This window comes from Homo sapiens, chromosome 13 (genome assembly GCF_000001405.40).
Source record: "Homo sapiens chromosome 13, GRCh38.p14 Primary Assembly".
NCBI lineage: Eukaryota > Metazoa > Chordata > Mammalia > Primates > Hominidae > Homo > Homo sapiens.
In genome coordinates this window covers 48,225,563-48,247,387 of record NC_000013.11, presented here as the reverse complement: position 1 = coordinate 48,247,387, position 21,825 = coordinate 48,225,563, and the positions used below count along the sequence as shown (strand labels likewise).

At 39.0% G+C, this 21,825-nt stretch overlaps 1 protein-coding gene across 1 annotated transcript in view, besides 5 other annotated features; it reads right to left on the bottom strand.

The window, feature by feature from the left end:
- Positions 1-14,182, bottom strand: part of ITM2B (integral membrane protein 2B) — a 37,152-nt gene extending 22,970 nt beyond the window's left edge. Inside the window, exon 1 of the mRNA NM_021999.5 lies at positions 13,911-14,182. Coding sequence (NP_068839.1) covers positions 13,911-14,027 — 117 coding nt within the window. The 5' untranslated portion in view covers positions 14,028-14,182. The remainder of the gene's footprint in view (positions 1-13,910) is intronic.
- Positions 5,587-6,087: an enhancer, noted in NCBI's record as "H3K4me1 hESC enhancer chr13:48815437-48815937 (GRCh37/hg19 assembly coordinates)". NCBI's record gives its function as "activates a minimal SCP1, AML or CMV promoter by ChIP-STARR-seq in naive H9 embryonic stem cells {active_cell/tissue: H9 hESC(naive)}" and the evidence as "EXISTENCE:reporter gene assay evidence [ECO:0000049][PMID:30033119]".
- Positions 11,282-11,869: an enhancer, noted in NCBI's record as "OCT4-NANOG hESC enhancer chr13:48809655-48810242 (GRCh37/hg19 assembly coordinates)". NCBI's record gives its function as "activates a minimal SCP1, AML or CMV promoter by ChIP-STARR-seq in naive and primed H9 embryonic stem cells {active_cell/tissue: H9 hESC(naive and primed)}" and the evidence as "EXISTENCE:reporter gene assay evidence [ECO:0000049][PMID:30033119]".
- Positions 12,974-13,671: an enhancer, noted in NCBI's record as "NANOG-H3K27ac hESC enhancer chr13:48807853-48808550 (GRCh37/hg19 assembly coordinates)". NCBI's record gives its function as "activates a minimal SCP1, AML or CMV promoter by ChIP-STARR-seq in primed H9 embryonic stem cells {active_cell/tissue: H9 hESC(primed)}" and the evidence as "EXISTENCE:reporter gene assay evidence [ECO:0000049][PMID:30033119]".
- Positions 13,727-13,936: a silencer, noted in NCBI's record as "silent region_5332". NCBI's record gives its function as "represses an Ori minimal core promoter by ATAC-STARR-seq in GM12878 lymphoblastoid cells {active_cell/tissue: GM12878}" and the evidence as "EXISTENCE:reporter gene assay evidence [ECO:0000049][PMID:35858748]".
- Positions 13,947-14,306: a silencer, noted in NCBI's record as "silent region_5331". NCBI's record gives its function as "represses an Ori minimal core promoter by ATAC-STARR-seq in GM12878 lymphoblastoid cells {active_cell/tissue: GM12878}" and the evidence as "EXISTENCE:reporter gene assay evidence [ECO:0000049][PMID:35858748]".

Below are 21,825 nucleotides of genomic sequence, written 5' to 3'. Positions count from 1 at the left end.
TCTTAGTGTTAAAAATTATATTATCAAAAAATATACATAAAAAAAGAACCAATACCATTTATTCAACTCAAAATATACTGAACCTTCAGAAATAGATTTAGTTACTCAGAAACATGCTGGGTAACATAGGTAAATATGGGGGTGCATAGGACAGCTGCCCACAGATGTGTTGTTTGGCTGGTATAATGCTTTCCAAAACAGCAAAACAGCTGGGACATTAAAAAAATTTAGTGATTCGCACTTTTAAAAACTAGGATTTCCCGGCCAAGCGCAGTGGCTCATGCCTGTAATCCCAGCACTTTGGGAGACTGAGGCAGGTGGATCACAAGGTCAGGAGATCGAGACCATCCTGGCCAACATGGTGAAACCCGTCTCTAATAAAAATACACAAATTAGCTGGGTGTGGTGGCTTGTGCCTGTAATCCCAGCTACTCGGGAGGCTGAGGCACGAGAATCGCTTGAACCCAGGAGGCGGAGGTTGCAGTGAGCTGAGATGATGCCACTGCACTCCAGCCTGGTGACAGAGCGAGACTCCATCTCAAACAAAACAAAACCAAAAACTAAATTTCCCATCAATGTTCTAGTATTTTCAACTTCTCTCTTATCTTTTTTTTCTCTCTACTTGGAGACCAAATATAGGTTTTGAATTCTGATCTTCACTTCCAGCTATGACTGGGTATACTTCCTTCTGGGATCCTATTTATATTAAATAATCAATCTAAACTACTTCTCCATATAAAGGGTTTTGAGTTCTGGGTTTTGTACACTGGGACATATTCATTTGGTTTCTACATTAGGTTTCTTTCCTCAGTATGAAAGCATCAAAAGGACATGATGTGGTGATCCGCTAATTATTAACTGCACTGATTATCAAATATATCTGGTATATGTAAGACACAAAATCTCTGGCTGAGAAGTTAACAATCCATGAGGACATCAAACATTTGTTTGCATTTTTTCTTATTCACTTAAATCAGTATCTGAATTTTGCTTTTTAATTTGCCTTTTGAAATGAGATTGCTGCTGTCTTGACTGTAGTGAGGAAGTCCACGTGATAAATGTTTGACACATAAAAAGGAAGCAGTTTTCCTAGTGTCTGGCATTACACAGAAAGCTGCTCTCTATATTTGTGAGTACTCTATTTCACAAAGGCCTCTGACCTTCTGTCAATATTAGATTTCATTTAGTTAAGTTAAATTAGTATTTACAGTCAAAATTGGGAATTATACCAACATGTTATGATTAATGAAGTTATGGAATTATTCTGTACTGGAATTCGAACAGGGGAAGGCTTTAAAAAGGAGAACTTAGGCTGGGTGCAGTGGCTCACGCCTGTAATCCCAACACTTTGGGAGGCTGAAGCGGGTGGATCATGAGGTCAGGAGATTGAGACCATCCTGGCTAACACGGTGAAAACCCATCTCTACTAAAAATACAAAAAATTAGCCAGGGGTGGTGGCAGGCGCCTGTAGTCCCAGCTACTCGGGAGGCTGAGGCAGGAGAATGGCGTGAACCCAGGAGACAGAGCTTGCAGTGAGCAGAGACTGCATGCCACTGCACTCCAGCCTGGGCGACAGAGAAAGACTCTGTCTCGAAAAAAAAAAAAAAGAACTTAAACTACAAGGTCTATAAAACAGATTCCTCATTAACATACTTTTTTGTTAAAAAATCCTGCAATATAAAAGCAGTAATATAGAATGAAAAAAAATTAAAATTTAAAGCCACTGCATAATAATGTAACTACTGTCAGAAATCTATGAAACTTGAACCAAATTATTAGCATCACATAAAACTAGCACAGTTTTAGGTTAAATAAAAATAGGTTGGAACTTGAAAAAAAAAACAACAGGCAGATTATCAACGCAATGCATTTAGAACTGGATCATAACTTAATCACTTTTGTATCAGAGACAAGCAGATTAGTGCAAAGTAGAATATTTATATGAATAATAAGTTTAAAATCTCTTATTCTTTTTTCTACATAGTTTAAAAAATGACCATCATTTCTCTACTGTGTTTATTCAATCTATGCTGAACAGAACTGTAACCATTTTTTTTTTTTTTGAGACGGAGTCTCACTGTCACCCAGGCTGGAGTACAGTGGTGCCATCTCAGCTCACTGCAACCTCTGCCTCCCAGGTTCAAGCAATTTTCCTGCCTCAGCCTTCCGAGTAGCTGGGATTACAGGCACATGCCACCAGGCCCAGCTAACTGTTGTATTTTCAGTAGAGACGGGATCTCACCATGTTGGCCAGGCTGGTCTCGAACTCCTGACCTCAAGTGATCCGCCCGCCTCAGCCTCCCAAAGTGCTGGGATTACAGGCATGAGCCACTGCACCCGGCCTTGTATCCGTTTTATAAAGTGAAATTTTAGCAGAATTTCAAATTCATATTGGTGAGTAAAAGGCACTGGGATAGCAAAAAGCCTAGATTAGCACAAACAGGTAAATGTTCATAAACAACAGCATTATATACAAATGTTATTTATTGTTAATAATATCCTTTACCGGGATAAATTGGTGAAGACAGATTTTCTCTACCACTGGCTGAATGAAACTCCACATTGTTACCAGTATCAACAGTTTCCCTAAAAATTTTAAGCACAATTCGAATGCTCTAATTTTATATAATTCATTATAAAATTCAGTGTCAAGATTAAAGAAAAAAAAGAACAAACCTGTTCTAGACTCACTTTTATATAAATGCTGGCTTTTAATGTCTTTCAACAAGATAATTATACATTCATATTCAAATATGGGTAATTTCATTTAAAATGCAGAACTTTTGGTAAGAAAATTCCAAGTATATTCATCTGAAAGTATAACATAATTTAAATGTGGATAGTTAAGAGAAAATTTCTGTCCAAGTTTGGAATTCTAAATGTTAAACAAGATGACTACTAGAAAAAATAGTTCTAAAGATCAGGAATACTTGTCTCTCTACATGTGAGAAGTGCTTTGATCCTATGAGCCCTACTGCCTAGCACTGAAGGCATGTGCAGTAAAAACTCAGTGGTAATATTGAATGTTGCTCCCTTACTCCACCACTCTCCTGGCTCTTGGATCCAGCGGTGTGATTTTCTTCTAAGAATAAATATAGGCATTTAAATAGGTTGTGACTAATTTGGTTTTCATAACTGGTTGGTCTTCCCTAGCTACACAATGTTTCTTGAAAGCTGGGGTGTTTAGCAATTTTTAAATTCCAGGTATAGTACCTGGCTATCCAGTAGGTGCTTCTGAATATATGATCAATACAGTTCTCAGGAATAGATCCCCTATGGAAGTACCATGAAGGTAGTTTAATCCAATACATCATTTACAGATAAATATGAGGCCCAGAGAAGTAAAATTATTTATGTAATATCACAGAGCTAATAAAGTCTGAATATTATCTTGACTCTATGTGCTGCTTAAGGAAACTGACTCAAACAGCTTAGGCAAATTAACTCTGGTAATAAATGAAGTGACAGACACCATGTCACACTTGGATAATACTCCTAACCAGAAACCACATAGCCTGATTTTTTTTATTAAATATATATACTTTTTAATTAATTAATTAATTTTTTTTTGAGACAGGGTCTTGCTCTGTCACCCCAGCTAGAGTGTAATAGTGCAATCACGGCTCACTGCAGCCTCAACCTCCTGGGCTCAAGTGATCCTCCTACCTCAGCCTCCCAAGTAGCTGGGACTACAGATGTGCACCACCACACATGGCTAATTTTTAAATTTTTTTGTGGAGGTGGAGGTCTCACTATGTTGCCCAGGCTGTTCTTAAGCAATTCTCCTGCCTCAGCCTCCCAAAGTGCTGGAATTATAGACGTGAGCCACCATGCCCGGCCCACAGCATGAATTTCTACTGTTGTAAAAGGTTTACTTAAATTGACCCACACTAATAAGCCCTACATGTGTGAACTATTACAAAGGCAGTAATATTACTTTTAATATGTTGTCAAAATTAATAGGGCTTTTCTCTGTTGTTCAACAAATTACAAAGGATGGTAGCAAAAAGTATTAAAATCACATACATGTGAACTTAAAACAATAAAGGAAAATAACTAAGGCACACCAGCACATAAGCATTTCAACATAAATGAAAAAGGCAACATATTAATTACAAAAATGAAACTTTTTTAAGTTAGTTGGAGTAATAATGCCACAAAGCAAAACTACAAAGTTGGTAATGAGTTGCCTCTAAAATTCCTCATGAAGGAGACAATCTTGGAACTTTGAAGAGGACGATCAGAGGATGCCTCATCAATCTTTCTAGACCATCCTGTCTGATCTTAAATTAATGCTAATGGTAATTCAGATGGTTTCCATTATTATCCATTATTAATTATCATTAAGTCAATTTTTAATGTAAAAGGAAATATTCTAACAAATCTTTAAAAAGCTATCAAGATAGCTAAGTTGAAGTTCTAATATTGATTTCCAGTGAAATGTTTGTTTACTTCCTCCTGAAAGCTCAATAAAGCGACAGTAAAGGGATAAAACAAATAAACCTTAAGCCACAAAGAATGAAAATGAATGACAGCAGACAAGTCATGTCAATAAAAATGTTGAAAGCTGAAAGCATAAAAGAAAAAAGAAAAAAAAGATATAAGGAGAAAATCACCAGCCTGTAGACAACCAAAGGGGGAAAAAAAGTCATGTACAAACAAGGAATCAGAATGGCATCACATTAGAAGATAATGGAGCAATGCCATCAAAATGCTGAGAGAAAAATGAATGCTAACCTAGAATTTTACACCCAGATAAATTATCAAATATGAGGATGGAATAACGATTCTGAGACACGTAAGATTTTTTAAAAATTTATCTTTTTCTTCAGATTTATGAAACTGTAGATCTAGCATGTGATAAAGACAAAGGCAATTCTTCCAAGATGATTATGACTCTCAGGACATTTGTATGAGTGCAACCAGTCTGGAATAGAAAACTAATGAATGATGGGCAAGAAATCATCAAAAAAAAAAGAAAGAAAGAAAGAAAGAAACTTGGTAAGTTACCTGGTGAGTTTGAAGACACAGAAAGACAATTATACTGCTGTCAGAGTCTGAGGAATGAATGAGCAGTAAGTATGTAGAAAATTAAGGAACCCTCTCTCCTGCCCCAAGAAGCATGATCAAATTCAGGGAAAATAAAAAGTTGTTATACAAGAATGGAAGTAAAATAAAAGTATACTACAATACTCAAATGTAACTAATGTTTATGTTAATTATAATAAAAAACACTAAATATCAATTTAACCAGAAATTGCTAGAACAGGAGAAGAGATCATGTGTGCAGTGTGTAAATATTCAGAAAAAGCTAAATATTCACCTTCCATGTAGCTATTATCAATAGGTATTATCTAAAACTGCAAAAAATAAAACAAATGAAAACAAACCATGAAACAGCAGTATAAGCAAATATTTAGAATAGATGTTCTGCAAATGTGGTCCAGGAACACACCCGTTCAGGGGGTCCACAAGGTCAAACTTTTTTCATAATAAAACTAAGACTGTGTTAGTTTAAATAATAAAACTGTCATTTTCACTTTCATTCTCTCGCTATGTTTATATACAATAAAAATTGTACAGTGCAATTTTCCAGAAGCTAAGCACCATATCACAACAGACTGAATGAAGAATTTGATAGGAAAATCCGGCTATCTTCTATTAAGCTATTCAATAAAGGGCACTGCCGAATGTAAAACAATGTTACTGTTAGTCTTCTTAAATCTTTTTGGTTATTTGGAAATATATATAACCTACATAAAGCAAAAGCTCTTTGGGATCCTGAACAATTTTTAAGACTATAAAGGAGTTCTCAGAGCAAAATGTTTAACAACCACTGATTTAGAGAAATAGGGAGTTAAAAGAGAAACATGGAGGGCCAGGTGCTATGGCTCAGCCTGTAATCCCAGCACTTTGAGAGGCCGAGGTGGGTGGACCACTTGAGGTCAGGAGTTCCAGACCAGCCTGGTCAACATGGTGAAACCCCGTCTTTACTAAAAATACAAAAATTAGCTGGGAGTGGTGGTGGGCACCTGTAATCCCAGCTACTCGGGAGACTGAGGCAGGAGAATCACTTGAACCTGGGAGGCGGAAGTTGCAGTGAGCCGAGATCATGCCACTGCACTCGAGCCTGGGTGACAGAGCAAGACTCTGCTGCCCGCCGCACCACGCCCTACTGGGGCAAAAAGTGAGAAACATGGAGTTAAGATCGCCATGTATGGTTGGGCAGGTTGTTTCCAGTACAAGGATGCCAGGCCAAGGGAATCAGTAGGTCTAGAAACCAACTGATGCTCTATTCTCCAAACCACCAGAGAGGGGATCTTTTTCTAAATTGCACAAAGGCAGAAGAGGGTCTAGTGGTCACCATGGTAATAAAAGACCATAAGAAGCTAATAAGTGAATATGATTGCTTTGAATTAATCTATGGGGAGAAAAATTAGAATAGTGGTTACCTCTAAGGAGAACAAATTGTAAAAGGACACAAGATAACTTTCTGAGTTGATAACAATGTTCAGCTTGATTGGGAGTTAGAGCCCAGGTATACAGACTTAAAATTATCTAACTGTACACTCATGATCTATGCATTTTACTGTATACAATGATGCTACAATTTTTTTAAAGTATGTTCCTCTGACATAGGGCAGGACTATATATTTGCATATTAAAATTTAGTATTACTTTGGTAAAACTCAAATTCTATTAACACCTATTATGTAATGAATAAATAACATTTTTAAATGAAATCGGTACAGCTACTGAATCCTAAGGGTTTTTATGTTGCAGGAATCAATCTTTACCAGAATGCCTTGCTGTGAAAAAAGTACCAACAATATTGTTACTGACATGTGAGGCAGGGATAAGCAGTAACAGTAATATAAGAAGTAATATTCCAAAACAAGAATGATGAGGAGAGAAAACTGGGACTTTAATAATAGTAGTTGATCAAGAGGTCAGGAGTTCGAGACCAACCGGGCCAACATGGTGAAACCCCGTCTCTATTAAAAATACAAAAAATTAGCCAGGCATAGTGGCAGGTGCCTGTAATCCCAGCTACTTGGGAAGCTGAGGCAGGAGAATCACTTGAACCCGGGAGGCAGAGGCTGCAGTGAGCCAAGATCACACCATTGCATTCCTGCCTGGGTGACAGGGCAAGACTGTTTCTCAACAAAAAAATAAATAAAAATAACAGTAGCTGAAATCTACTAATTTTTAACTCTGTTCCAGGCATTGTGCTATTATTGTTACAGATTATTATTTTCCCTATTTTGCTGATGAAAAAACTGAGACACAGAGAACTGAAGTAACTTACCCAAGGTATCAAAGTAAGTGATAGAGACAAAATTTAAATCTTTTGAAGAATGACTGTATAACCTGAATTCTGCTAGTGCTGCTGCTTCCTGAATAGCAGCAGCCCCTCCCCAACAATTCAGTGAGGGTACTGGGCAAAAAGGAGAAATATCATTCCTTTGATATTTTTCCCAACCATTAAAAAATATAAAAATCATTCTTACCCCATGGGCTACAGAAAAACAGCAGGCAGGCAGTATTTGAAGATATAGGCTATAATTTGCCAGTCCTGCGTTCCACTTTAAAGGAGATTATAAAATAGTGGCCCATGCCTTCAGTGTTTTGGGCTAAAATTGTTGTATAAATTAAAATAGTACTGATTTTTAGCTTGCCTTGGAAAATTGGAGGATCCAGCAACACTGGACTCATGTTTTAAAAATGAAAACCAAGAATATTCTTTTGTTTTTTGAGACAGAGTCTTGCTGTGTCACCCAGGCTGGAATGCAATGGCGCAATCTCAGCTCACTGCAGCCTCCATCTCCCAGATTCAAGCGATTCTCCTGTTTCAGCCTCCCAAAAAGCTGGAATCACAGGCGCATGCCACCACGCCTGGCTAATTTTTGTTTTAGTAGAGACAGAATTTTGCTATGTTGGCCAGGCTTATCTCGAACTCCTGACCTCAGGTGATCCACCAGCCTCAGTATCCCAAAGTGCTGGGATTACAGGCGGTGGCTTGCGCCTGGCAGGAAAACCAAGAATATTCTTACTTGTTTCATATGCAAAAAGTCCAGCTTCAACAATTCATCTGCTTCAGCCCAGGAGACACTGAATTTGCCTTCTCTGCTTAAGATGCCTAGCACGGCCCTAGGTAAAACTGATAGACAGGAAATTTTATGTCCCAGTATTAAAGGGAGGAAAAAATGAATTGGATAAAGTTATATAAAATGAAAAACTGAAAACTGATAATGCAAAGCTAAATAGACTAGCTCTCAAAAATCATTTTCCCCAGCATAAAAATGGGTCTGCTTTTGGATACTGCAGAGATTCAAGTGATTTAATTAACAATGCATCTTTTAAAATTTTTATATAAAATAATTTAAAACATTATAATCATATATAAGCAGAGAAAATAGTTAAGACTTAAGCTTTATCCTTAACTCATTCTGAAAACAAACAACTTTTAAAAATAATTTGCATCTTGACTGCTCTGCCTATGCAGTACCATTCTTTTACTCCTTTACTTTCTTAATAAACTTGCTTTCACTAAAAAAAAATAATAATTTGAGCCTTAAAGTTAATCATTCAAATAAACACAAAAATCCACCAAACTTGTTTTTTAAAGTATGAAATTCAACTATGCCAAAAACGGTTTATGCAAATATTTCAAAATTTCAAAGTACAAAATATCCACCACCATACTTAGTATCACTTTCCCAAATAAACGTCCAGGATATTTAACTCAGAAGTGGTATTATATATAAGCTGTGAAAATTTTATTTCTCTTTTGTCGTACTTATGTTAGTTCAACATCATAAAATTATTGCTGGTAACTTATCAGTACTGAAAGATAAAACATTAAGTGAAAAATCAGAATATATCTCTACCATAAAAACAAGGGTAATTTCCTCATCGCTACAACTCAAGATTCAAACTTTTCTGTTTAAGAATAAAAAGTCTACGTTCATTCTTACCTGATTTTTCCCCAAGTACAATTATAGAAATACTGCAAAAAGTTTTTTCCTCTAATAAAAGAGCTTAAAGAATGCACAATAATTTAAAATAATCTTGTTCATTCAATTGTTGATAACACTTATAAAATGAGGTTGTATTGTAGATCTCCTTAAAGCTATTAAAAATATGTGTTGTAAGTACTAATTAAAAGGGATAATCACAATTAAGTGGAAATTTTTCAAAAATGATGTCCTTAGTGTTATAATTTCCAATTTTCAACTTTCAGCTGTCTACTTTGGAAAAGACTTTCATTGTGAAGCACAGCTCCAGTGTTAATATTTTGTATATCATTTAGGCAAAAATCACCTCATTCAGAAATTCAGAATTGTCAAATCCTTTAACAGGTTTCAGTAACGGTCTAAAGTCCTTAATTTCTTTTCCTTTAGTCTTTAAGCTCTAATAAAATGCCACGTTTGCCAAAAAATTTAAGAGGATGATTTTACTGGTAACCCAAAAAGATTTTTTTTTCTGAGTCTTCCTTTACTGACACTGACATACAAAGCAGTACAAGAAGCTTTAGTTAAATCTAGGAATTCAGGAAGTAGTATTTCCTTTTGGAAAAAGAATGTGGGTTTTGAATAGACACGCCAGACATTTAAGTTATGGTATGATAAAACTAAGAGAAATAAAATCTCCCCCAATGACTACTTAGTACATGTTTCTATGTACATTTACCCACAAGTCAAGATTTGGAAATGCATAATAAACACCTTGTAAGTCAAATTCTAAATTAATTTAAATAGGCCTGTAACATAAACGTATTTGAGATATTTCTGCTTAAAAAATACTTCCAGTCACATAAACCTTTTATATGTCAGAGTTGAATTCCATGAGGTCACTCAGGCTTATTATGCCAAGTATATTATACTCATTTCTGTCTAGTTGGGAAGACTACAATCCTGTGCAATATGCAACCTTGCACACCCAATATGCTACAGCAGTGTCCTGTCAGGGATGTGTACACAGGAGGTCCTGCCAAGGCATTTGGGATGCACAGACGCAATTCATTTATTTCCCAGCACTAAACCCTCAATTCAGATATTAATATCCTCATGGAGAACCAAAATGTAATGTAAAAGTTTCACTGGCCAATATCTGCAAACACGGAATTACATAACTAGGTAATAAGATGCACTTTGGTTAAAGAGAACCAAGCTCTCAATCCCTTGAGAGCATTATATCAACATTATAGTAAATGGCCAGCCATGCATTTTATGTCCCTTCTCCTCACTCCCCAAAAAACACACAAACAAAACCACCACCACAAACGAAAAGCTTAATTATCAAAACCTTCAGTCTTGATTGTGTGAATAGGGAAAACCAGAAAGGGTAAAGAACCAGGGTCTAAACAGCCATTTGTCATGGGTAACTCAAAACTTTTACTGGGTGAGTCGGCCTTCACTTTCTCTCTTGCACTCACCCTGCCACTATTTTCTCTCCTATATCAGCACTTTACTTTTCTCTCTCCTTTTAAAGAATATCTACAAAGTGGGGTAGAGAGAAAGCAACACTATTTGTCAGCAAAACAACTTGCAGGGATACATATGAAGCAAGCTTAAGCTATTCTGTGGCCTGATACTGGAAAAGGGGTTTCATAAGCAGGCATTGCAACAAAGAGGTGCTGACAACTTCACTGTTCACTGTGAGGTAAACAGAAGTGACAATGTGCTTTATTACATAATACCTCTACCCATCTCCTTTCTCTTTGACCCACTGCTACTTGATATGAGGGAAGAATGTAACATGTTAAACACCAAAAGGAAGAAAGGGAATAGTCTGGTTAGAGTGAGGAGGTAGTTGCTATTTTTCACAATTAAAACAATTTAATGTCTGCCAAATATAATTATGTAATCCTAGCATCTTCATAGATTTTTGAAACTGGAAGAATCCTTACAGGCCATCTGGTCCTACCCTCTCATCTTACAGACAGAAAACCTAAAAATTTAAGCCCAAGATCAAGTAGTTATGTAATGACAAAACTGGGACTTCTGATACAGTACATCAAGTATTTTGTTATCTGCAAATATAAAACAATTTCCCAAGGTTCAAAGTATTGCCACAAAAATATATGAATTGTTGCCTATAGCATAAAACATGTATATAATTTCAAATTCACTTCTGCTACCCAAAATACATCCCATCTTTGCTGTCTCTATAGCTCTAAGAGCTTTATGCCTACTAGGAGAGGAGGAAGGTGAAAACAATTAAGGGGAAAATGCAGGAAAAGAATAAACAGCAAGCTAGTTGAGATAAAACTATCAATAGAAATGGCTGTTAGGATTAATAGCTGCTGAAAAGATAAGACTGAAAAATGGGGTAATAGAACTGTTTCTGGAGAGTTCTCACCCTGCAGAAGAAAAAAATAGAAAGACAGGAGCAATGTAAAAGTACTGGAATGCATGTTATATAAGCCAGCTGATTAGAGTGATCAGAATTCTTGTGGCATAAGGTAACAGAATCTGCATTTTAAAACCAGAGCAGGTGGTCCCTAAGAGCACATTTTGGAAAACAATGGTCTGCGGGATATTGTGATCTGGGAGGGTTAAAGATAAGAAAAATTCTTGTTCAGGAGTTCTAGGCCATTAACTAGCTTGGTTTGATTCTTTCAACCAACCAGGCAAAGGAAATGCCCTCGGCAAAACACATTAAGGCTGATTCTGTTCCCAGTCCAGGCAGTCAGACAAGGTGGCTGCCACAGAGCCACCCGCAAGGAGCCAGAGAACATTATGTAATCACTGCCCAAGCTCTGAAATGAAGAGATCAGAACTTCTTTCACAAAAGTCTGTCATTAAGGTTTTCCTTTTCCCGTTAAGCGACTGACTGATTATAAGGATTCTACTTTTAATGTAGAGAAATATTTTGTCATCCCCTAAAGAAGTCTTTCAGCTTATAGCTGGAAAAAGAATTAGTCATTTTTTATCTACCAACTCATCCGTGACTGCTGGGTGGTTTACAAAGACGACTCTGGCCCTCACTCTTTAGTCCCAGTAGTATTTTTCTTTGGATATGGAGGATCTGAGAAAATAAAAAATGGAAAACAAAGCACGGAGCTACCAATGATTACTTATAGCTGCAATGACCACAAAATTTAAATATGGTGAACTCGTGAGCAATTTTGAGAATCTGGCAGAGTCACTATTTCAGAAATGACAAAAATTGTCAGAAGTCAGATTTAATGGTGCTCAGCAAATGTAATTCTGATGTTTGTCCAGAGTTTCAAATCTCCACTACAGCGGAACAGAGAAAAGCTGTCTGAAGTGACATCATCCAATGCTCGCTCACTCTCTCCTTTCTAAATGGGAGCAGTTATATTTGTTAATAGGATTTTTAAATGTATGTGTGTATATATATATATGTGATAGCATTAAGACTACATATATTTGAGACTGTTGTGACTGGATACTTGACTCTCAATCTATTTTAGGTACAACGAATGTTAGATAAACAAAGAGCTAACATAATAATTTGCTACTGCAATTTTCATCTGTGCATTCCAAACATTTTCTTTAAAGACCAAGATTGTTTGCAATGGCTTCAGGAAAACAATACCAATACGAAAACCAAAACCTTTAATCCTTTTAGGGAATCAGTTCACTGTTCCTATTTCAAGGCAAGGCAAGTCATTTAGAAATCAACCTCTGACGTGTCTGTTTTTATCAGAACATTTCCAGAAAGTAAGATTACCATTATATTCTGAAGATAGATTATATTCAGAATATAATAAATTATAATATGATGTCTAGATTACCATTATATTGTGAATTTTTTACAGTATATTAGTGGCCTGTTTTTCAGCAATAATTTTCATTCGTCCATATAAAAACTCCCATTATTCATACGTGGCACACCAATTTTTTTAAGTTAAAACTAAATTTACCCTACTGATAATAGGTCTTGAAAAATGCTAACAACAACAAAAAATAAGATAAGCAACATAACTTTACAGTTAATTTCTAATTTTTGCAGCCTAAAAAGGGTCTGGGTAAGAGGCTGTGGGCTTTTTTAACTTATGAGACAATTACACTCATATTTAAGTAAATATGATCGTAACCTACTAAAAGTCAACACAGTAACAGCCCCACTTCATGAATTTTCCTAGGATTAAAGGGAGATTTTGTAAAATAAAGGAGAATTTTATTAGGGACCCGGGGGCAAATTTCTCATGTTTAGTTTCACGCAGCAGGAGTCCTCACAAAGACGCTGATACAATTTAAATGCCAACAATTGGTTTTTCACTAACATCCACATAGTCATTACTGGCCTTTACTAGTAATGGTAAGAGACAGCCCAAACCTACTTCGGGCGGACTGTCCCTTCGTCCCCTCTCCAGGTGAAGTTCACCTGCCACTACCGAAGGGCCGTGGAAAAAGGAGGTAAAGAAACGCTTTTAAAATTAAGACGCTTACAGTTGCTGGACTTAGTCCAAGTGCTGTTCAAGCCTAGAAACGAAAGTGGGAAACAACAGAGGTTTAGGCTTGTAATGATGTCAGCCATTTTAGGTACATTATTTATACTGGGAAGGAAGTGCCAAACTCGGTTGTTGTTGTTGTGCCTGTCGCTGCCGGTCCCCAGATCGAACAAGCCAAGTCCTGGCTGCACGCACGCTCCCCGGACTGCACAAACGACCGGGAATTCGGCACAATTAGCCAATCGTTCCCTCTCCAGGCCTCCCAAGCCCCCGACCCCGCGTCAGGCACCGCTTCCAGCACACGCACTTCCTTACAAAGGAGCTGCGGACCCACAGGAAACGGGAGCGCCGGGCTCTCTCGGGGACTTGTCCCCGCGGCGCGAGCCCCGCGCCCGCCACCTCGGGGCGCACTGCCGCTGCAGTCCGCGCAGCCCTCCCCGGCCGGGCCCAGCACCCGCTTCCTCGACCTCCCCGGGCTCGGACCTTGCAGTCCACCGCGACGGCGTCGGGGGGGATGATGAGCGCCTCCTCGCCGCTCTTGGGCTCGTCCTTCTTGGCCTCCTTCTGGGCCAGAGCGGAGTTGAACGTCACCTTCACCATGGCGCGGCCTGGGGCGCCCTCGAAGGGCGGCGGCGGGCTCGGGGCGCGGGCTGCGGGCTCCCGGCTGCGATTGCAGCCTCTACGGCCGGGCTCCGGGAGCGGCTCCGGGCGGCTGAAGAGGTTCGGGAAGCTCCGCGGCGGCAGAGGCGGCTACTGCGGTAGGGATCTCGCAGCCTCCCAGCTCCCGCGCGAGGGCGGAGACTGCTCGCACATCCCCTGGGAGGCGGGGCGGGGGCGGGGGCGGGGCCAGCGGCCGGGGGTGGGGTGCTGCGCGGGACCCTGCCCTCGCCCCGCAGCTGGGCGCCGGATCCCGGCGCGCCTCGGAGAGGGATGGGTGTCCCTCTGGGCCGCCTGGAATTTCCAGTTCTGAATTCGCTCCCAACCAGGTTACCTCCAGGCCGAGTGCTGCAGGTTTGTAGCGAAATCGAGTGAACTTTCCTGAGTTCGCCGGGTACAAGGGACTAACCTTTGGCAGCACCAGACCGCCGCTTCCCTGTACCCTGTCCCCACCGCGAGCCTAAAGGCCATGGAATTTTTGTGCATCCACATCTTCATTTTCTCACTTATTAGGTAACCGACTCAGTGGAGCACAAACATGTTTAAAGCTCTCTGTCCTTGAGATCTGACTTTATCTTTCACGGACCTCACCCAAGGGCGTTTACCTGGCTCAGACCTGCCTGGTCTTCCTTCCCTCTCTCAGGAGGTCAGGGCCTGTTCTGCCTAGTCCCAGACCAATGTGGAGGAAGCTCTTGGCAGATTTGTATTTCAAACATCTCACACTCGTAAAACGAAATGTTCCACTCTTGTGCGTACTTGGAAAAAAACCACATGCACACTTGGCTGATTTGTGACTCAAAGTACTCGATGACGAGTCCCTTTATTTTTCTGCAAAATGAAAAAATAATTAAGGATAACGCAAAATTCTCATGTTTTGAAGACGTTTCATTTACAACTAATGCGAGGTAGAATACTGGCTCCCGTCGTTACTGCGTTCATTACTGTGTCAACAGACGGCCCCCTTGGACAAATGTGTTATCTTGTATCCTTCCACCCCATTCTGTCCTGGTTCATCCAGAGTTGTGGGTGTGCTCTAGAATGTTACAGCTGTGTCAGCTCTGCCTTGGGCCAACCCTGAAAAAAGTGGGTTCAGTCTGAGATCTTTGGGGATTTGGCCCTGCTCAAGGAGGGAGTTGGGTATTTCCATAGAATGTCAGATCATAAGTCCCAGGGAAACAGCCCAAGATCTCCAAATCCTTCTGTTCATGTATTTCAGAAGCATCCTGGGCTGAGATAGAAACCCAGGCCAGACTTTGAGTTTGCTTTGGGTATTCAGAAATTCCTGTCAAAATGAAATCTGCTCAACCAAGAGGAGGATGAGTTAGGTTCCAGTTCTGGTGAGTTTTAACAGTAGCTAACCATACTTGCAGCAACTTATTTAAACTCCTGGGTCGCCCTTGTGCAGGCATCGGCTCTGTGAGGTTGACTCTATGGACTGGACTTTCATAGTATCTAATGTTATCTAATTCCTCAAAGTCAACGACTGCTTCCAGCTCCCTAGTTTAATAGGTTCCCTGAGACATTACAGTTGAAGACTAAGTATTTCTGGAAGCAAGATCTGGAGGATTATAAATAATTATATGTACATCCTTCCTACTTCGTTCTGTGTTAAAATAAGATGGTAGAAAAATACTCAAGGCATTTTGCAGTAGATGATAGAGAAGAATCTGGCTGTCATTATACTCCGGGGGGAAAAAAGGAATTACAGAAGAAAATAAAACAAAATTCTTCGTGAACAACACTACTGAACAGACTAGGAAGCTGAGGCAAAGGATGAACAAATGAGGTTGACAAAACTAGAAATCCTCCCCGCCCCAGGATTTCTATTTTGAAAGACTCATGAATAAAAGACCATTCATTATTTTGTGTACTTGCAGTGAGCAACAGTTTAAAATCAGTTGGCAACCGGTCTGGGAATAATCTCCTGGTTTTTTTTCTCCATTTTATCTCATGTGTCTACAGAACTGTGTAGTGCACAACAGCAGGGATAATAAAGACGCTGGAGCAAGACCAAACATAGCAAATCCAGTCTTGTGATTTAGAAAAGGTTGCCCGTTGACCCTGAAAACTTAGGAGCCAGGGAGGAGGAGAGTCCATGACTCAACAAAAGAAAGTTAAAAACATAGTTATAAGTTACTATTAACTACCAAATGTAAAGGGAGTCTTAGAGGACCTTTGTTTTCCTTTTTGACGTTGAGTTTGAGAGAGCAAGATGAATCTGATTCCAGCTCTGCATATCACCAGCAACCATGTTTGTTTTTATGCTTACCAAAGGAGGGAGGAAAAAATGGAAGTGGGGAACTGAATTCTAAAATATTTTAATAGATTTGCATTATGTGCTTCAACAGGGATTTTTTTTTTCTTTTTAGGTTCTTTACATCTCTATTCTGTCTGTTCTTTCTCAAGGAAACAATTCCTTATTCAGAGAAATTTCTTGTGGTTTTACAGAATGATTGGAAAACTTTATTTTATTTTATTTTTCACAAGTATAGGGTCCTTGGTGAAACAACGTCACTGAATAAGCCCTTTGAAATGTGCTCCTGTTGCCTCTTCTCTTAACCCAATGTGTGAGTTTAGCTGGTCATCTTGTGGCTTTGTCTGAACTTTCATAAAAGAAGTGTTTCTTCTAGGTGAGAGCTTTGAAGGCTTTGACTGACCTCTTCAGAGACTTAAGCACTGTTTATTTTTCTTACCGACTTCCTATTTCAATATTATATATGCTTTTCAATTATTTTAATTTATTTTATATAAATTATTTTCATGTAATTTTAAAATAATTTATCATTATTTTCCTTGAACTAGCAGATGCATTTTTTTTTCTTTTTCAAATCTTGGGCTCTATAATATCCCGAGACCCTTTAGGAATTATCCTAATAACAAATGCAGATCTCTTTTGATTTGACTGGCTGTGGCACTTGGGATTTTTGTTTTGCTTTGTGAAAAGACTGGATATGCTCTGCACTGATGAAAGAGAGGGAGAAGCTGGGTGAGGTGGCTCATGCCTGTAATCCCAGCACTTTGGGAGGCCGAGGCAGGGAGATCACCTGAGGTCGGGTGTTCCAGACCAGCCTGACCAAAATGGAGAAACCCCGACTCTACTAAAAATGCAAAAAATTGACCGGGCGCGGTGGCTCACGCCTGCAATCCCAGCACTTTAGGAGGCCGAGGCGGGCGGATGACGAGGTCAGGAGATCGAGACCATCCTGGCTAACACGGTGAAACCCCGTCTCTACTAAAAAAAAAAAAAAAATACAAAAAATCAGCCGGGTGTGGTGGCGGGCGCCTGTAGTCCCAGCCACTCGTGAGGCTGAGGCAGGAGAATGGCGTGAACCCGGGAGGCGGAGCTTGCAGTGAGCCGAGATCACGCCACTGCATTCCAGTCTGGGCAACAGAGCCAGAATTCGTCTCAAAAAAAAGAAAAAAAAAATACAAAAATACAAAAAATTAGCCGGGCATGGTGGCACATGCCTGTAATTCCAGCTACTCGGAAGGCTGAGGTAGGAGAATTGCTTGAATCCAGGGGGCAGAGGTTTCGGTGAGCCGAGATTGCGCCATTGCACTCCAGCCTGGACAACAAGAGCGAAACTCTGTCTCAAAAAAAAAAAAAAAAAAAAAAAAAAAAAAAAAAAAAGAGAGAGAGAGAGAGAGAAAGGGAGGAAAAAGATGGAAAAGATGAGAAACACAAACCATAGAAAGAGTGAAATCAAAAGATGGGAAGACAAGCCACAGACTAGGAGAAAATATTTGCAAAACATGTATCTGATGAAAGACTTGAATCCAAAATACACAAATAACTCTTTAAACTCAACAATAACAAAACAAACCACCTCATTAAAAAATAGGCCACCAAGCTAAGTGCAGTGTCACAAGCCTATAGTCCCAGCTACTCAGGAAGCTGAGGCCAGAGGATTGCTTGAGTCCAGGAGTTCAAGGTTGCAGTGCGTTATGATCGTACCTATGAATAGTCACTGCACTCCAGCCTGGGCAATATAACAAGACCCCGTTTCTATTTTAAAAAATTATTTTTCTTAACAGGGTGTAGTGGTGCATGCTATATAGTTCCAGCTACTTGGGAGGCTGAAGCAGGAAGATCACTTGAGCACAGGAGTCCCTAAAAATAAACAAACAAATAAATAAATACAAATCAAAATTAAATAAAACAAAAAATCCAGTTCCCTAGTTGCAATAACCACATTTTAAAAAAATGGGCAAACAATCTGAAGAGACCCCTTACCAAAGAACATACACAGATGGCAATTAAGCATATGAAAAGATACTCCACATCTATCTTTACCTGTATCATTAGGGAATTGCAAATTAAAACTACAATGAAATACCCTGAACACTTATTAAAATGGCCAAAATCGGCAACAGCGACCACAACAATTACTGATGAGGATGCTGGGCAACAGGAACGCTCATTCATCACTGATGGAAATGGAAAATGGTACAGCCGCAGTTTCTTACAAAACTAAACACACTCTTACCATAATATCCAACAATTATGCTCCTTGGTATTTACCCCAAGGAGTTGAAAACTTATGTCCACCAAAAAACGCTGCATATGTATGTTTATAGCTGCTTTATTCATTATTACCAAAATGTTAAAGCGACCAAGATATCCTTCAGTAGATGAGTGGATAAACTGTGGTACATCCAGATAATGAAATATTATTCAGCACTGAGAAGAAATGAACCATCAAACCATAAAGACATGGAGGAAATGTAAAGACATATTATTAAGTCAAAGAAGCCAGTCTGAAAAGGCTACATACTGTATAATTCCAACTATATGACATTTTAGAAAAGGCATAACTATAGAAACAGTAAAAAGATCACTGGTTACCACTAATCAGTAAAACGATCAGCGTTAGTGGCAAGGGAGGAAGGGATGAATAGGAGGAGCAGGGAGGATTTTTAGGACAGTGAAACTGTTCTGCATGATACTACAATGGTGGATAGATACTACAATGCCATTATCCATTTGTCAAAATCCATAGAATGTATCAATGTAGGTTCATTGATTTAACAAGTGTATGAGCCTGGTGGGGGCTGTAGACAGTGGGGGAGGTTGTATGTGTGTGGAGACAGGGGGTATATGGAAACTCTCTATACTTTCTTGCTCAATTTTGCTGGGAACCTAAAAGTGCTCAAAACATAATGTTTATTAAAATGAAAGAGAGAGAAATGCACAAAGGTTGGTGGTTGAATGGATAGAACCCACTCAGAGGACTCAGACCCTTGTCTTGTCTGAACCTCACCATGCTTCATATTTTCACTGGTAATACTCTGCAAATAAACCAACTGTTTATAGCATGATATTGGAGTCTAGACTGAGCTGGAGCAGCCTGGTAAGGTTTCACAGAAGAGACAAAATTTTAGTTGGAGAAATGGAAAGGGTTTAGGCAAAGACAAAGGAAATGGAAGAAGAGCCTGAGTGGAGGGAAGAGCATGAAGAAGAGAACTGAGACCAGGAAAGAGGACTGAGGCAAGAGGAGAGAAGCCCCACTCAGGCTGAGGGTGTATGCTGAGTAATTGTGGGGAACACAGCTGGATGGGCAATGGAGTGATAAAGCTGCATGTCCTGTTAGAATTAGTCGTATGGACTTTACCCTCAAAGGGACTGTGGAAAGTTTCTGCAAATATCAGTTGTTTTTTACTTTATTTATTTATGTTTTGAGATGGAGTCTCGCACTGTTGCCCAGGCTGGAGTGCAATGGTGTGATCTCGGCTCACTGCAGCCTCTGCCTCCTGGGTTCAAGCGATTCTCCAGCCTCAGCCTCCCGAGTAGCTGGGATTACAGGTGCGCGCTACCATGCCGGCTCATTTTTGTATTTTCAGTAGAGATGAGGTTTCACCATATTGGCCAGGCTGGTCTCAAACTCCTGACCTCAAGTGATCTGCCCGCCTCGGCGTCCCAAAGTGCTGGGATTACAGACAGTCATGAGCCACTGCACCCAGCCATGCAAATATCAGTTTTTAAAATAAAAGGCTGCTCTATAAAGATTGATCTGGCTTTCTGAGTGAGTGGGAAAGGAGGAAACACCAGAAGCAGAAAGAGAAGTTCAAATAGCTTCTCTCCTTTTTTATGAGGATAAATGAGATAAGATTCTAATGCCCTTTTATTTATGTTGGAAGAAAGAATACCAAATAAATCCAGCATTACTAATAACAATGTCTAATAAACAGTACTTGTATTTATAAGTCAAGTGACATAAAAGACATATGCACCAAGGCTGGCAGAACATTGTAAAAATCTGTCCTCCTTTGGTTGAACCTTACCAAGTGTCCTACTGGGCTTCATCCAGGAAGGCTTTGAACTTCCAGGCAAATGGCATAAAGGCATTGATGTTGTCATAGCCATTCTTTTGACAACAAGGATTGTAGGAGGAGACACTAATATTTAGCATGATTGCATTTATAATATGTGGCGGGGGTGTGCGTGCGTGTGTGTGTGTGTGATCTAAACTCCTCTATACGTTTCTTAAGGCCTTCCATAACCTTGCGTGGTGACATCCCACCAAGCCAACCTTATATCTCTCATGTACTCTCTCCACTCTGTTCTTTCCAGCGTTTAGTGTAGGAATCTGCCTTGCTTATTATCTTTATCAAAATCATTAATTAAGATAGAGAAAGCATGTAGCAAATTTTGTTATAACAAAAGAGGAATATTAAGTTAGTAAGAAGAAATTTCTTTCAGTGGGTTTCTTAGAAGATTGATCAAATTTCCAAAGTACCATTTTCTTTTTTCCCCATTTTTCTAAAATGAGATAAACCTGACACATATGTAGTAGGACACATAAAGGTTCCTGAAGGCAGATTCCATCTAATCTTGATTTTTAAAGATGTATCAATTACCCTAAGATCTAATTTAAAGTCCTCATGTGATCCCTAAATATTTTTTTTTCTTTTCTTTTCTTTTTTTTAACCTTTTCCCCAGAGCTAGGACAAAAGCAATGGTAACTTTATGTGAGTTGCTATGAATTATTTAACATTATGGCACTTTAATGAAAAAAGAAAAGGTTATCACTTAACCTAGACTCTGAAAATATCTTTTAAAGTGTGGATGCTTTCATCAGTGGAACGTATGAAAATGTACCTTATTTCCTGGAAACATTTGATAAATCTAATTGTTAACTAACTTTAAAATTTTGCCCAGAACCCTTACGAGAAAGACTGACATAGACTAACCATGGTTATATGATATACCACATCTTTAAATATATACATGATATACCACATCTCTAAATATTTTTGTATGTTATATCTTGGACAGTTGACACCGCATATCTATGTATTCTGTATCTGTGGGTTTTGCATCCATGGATTCAACCAACCAGGGGTCAAAAATATTTGAAAAAAAAAAAGGATGGTTGTGCCTGTACTGAACATGTACACACCTTTTTTCTTGTCATGGTTTTCTAAACAATACAGTATAATAATTTATATAACAGTTACATTGTATTTTGTATTATAAGTAATCTAGAGATAATTTAAAGTATATAGGAGGATGTGCGTAGGTTATATGCAAATACTATGCCATTTTATATAAGGGACTTGAGCGTCTGTGGATTTTGGTATCTGAGGGGAGTCCTGGAACCAGTCCCTCATGGATACTGAGAGATGACTGTATTTTGTAAATACTTATTATATCTAAGGCATATGTGCAATTTAAATCTAAGTCAAAATAGGAAAAAAAAGTGCTGGTCAGGAAATCAAAAAACAAACTTGGCTGGCATGG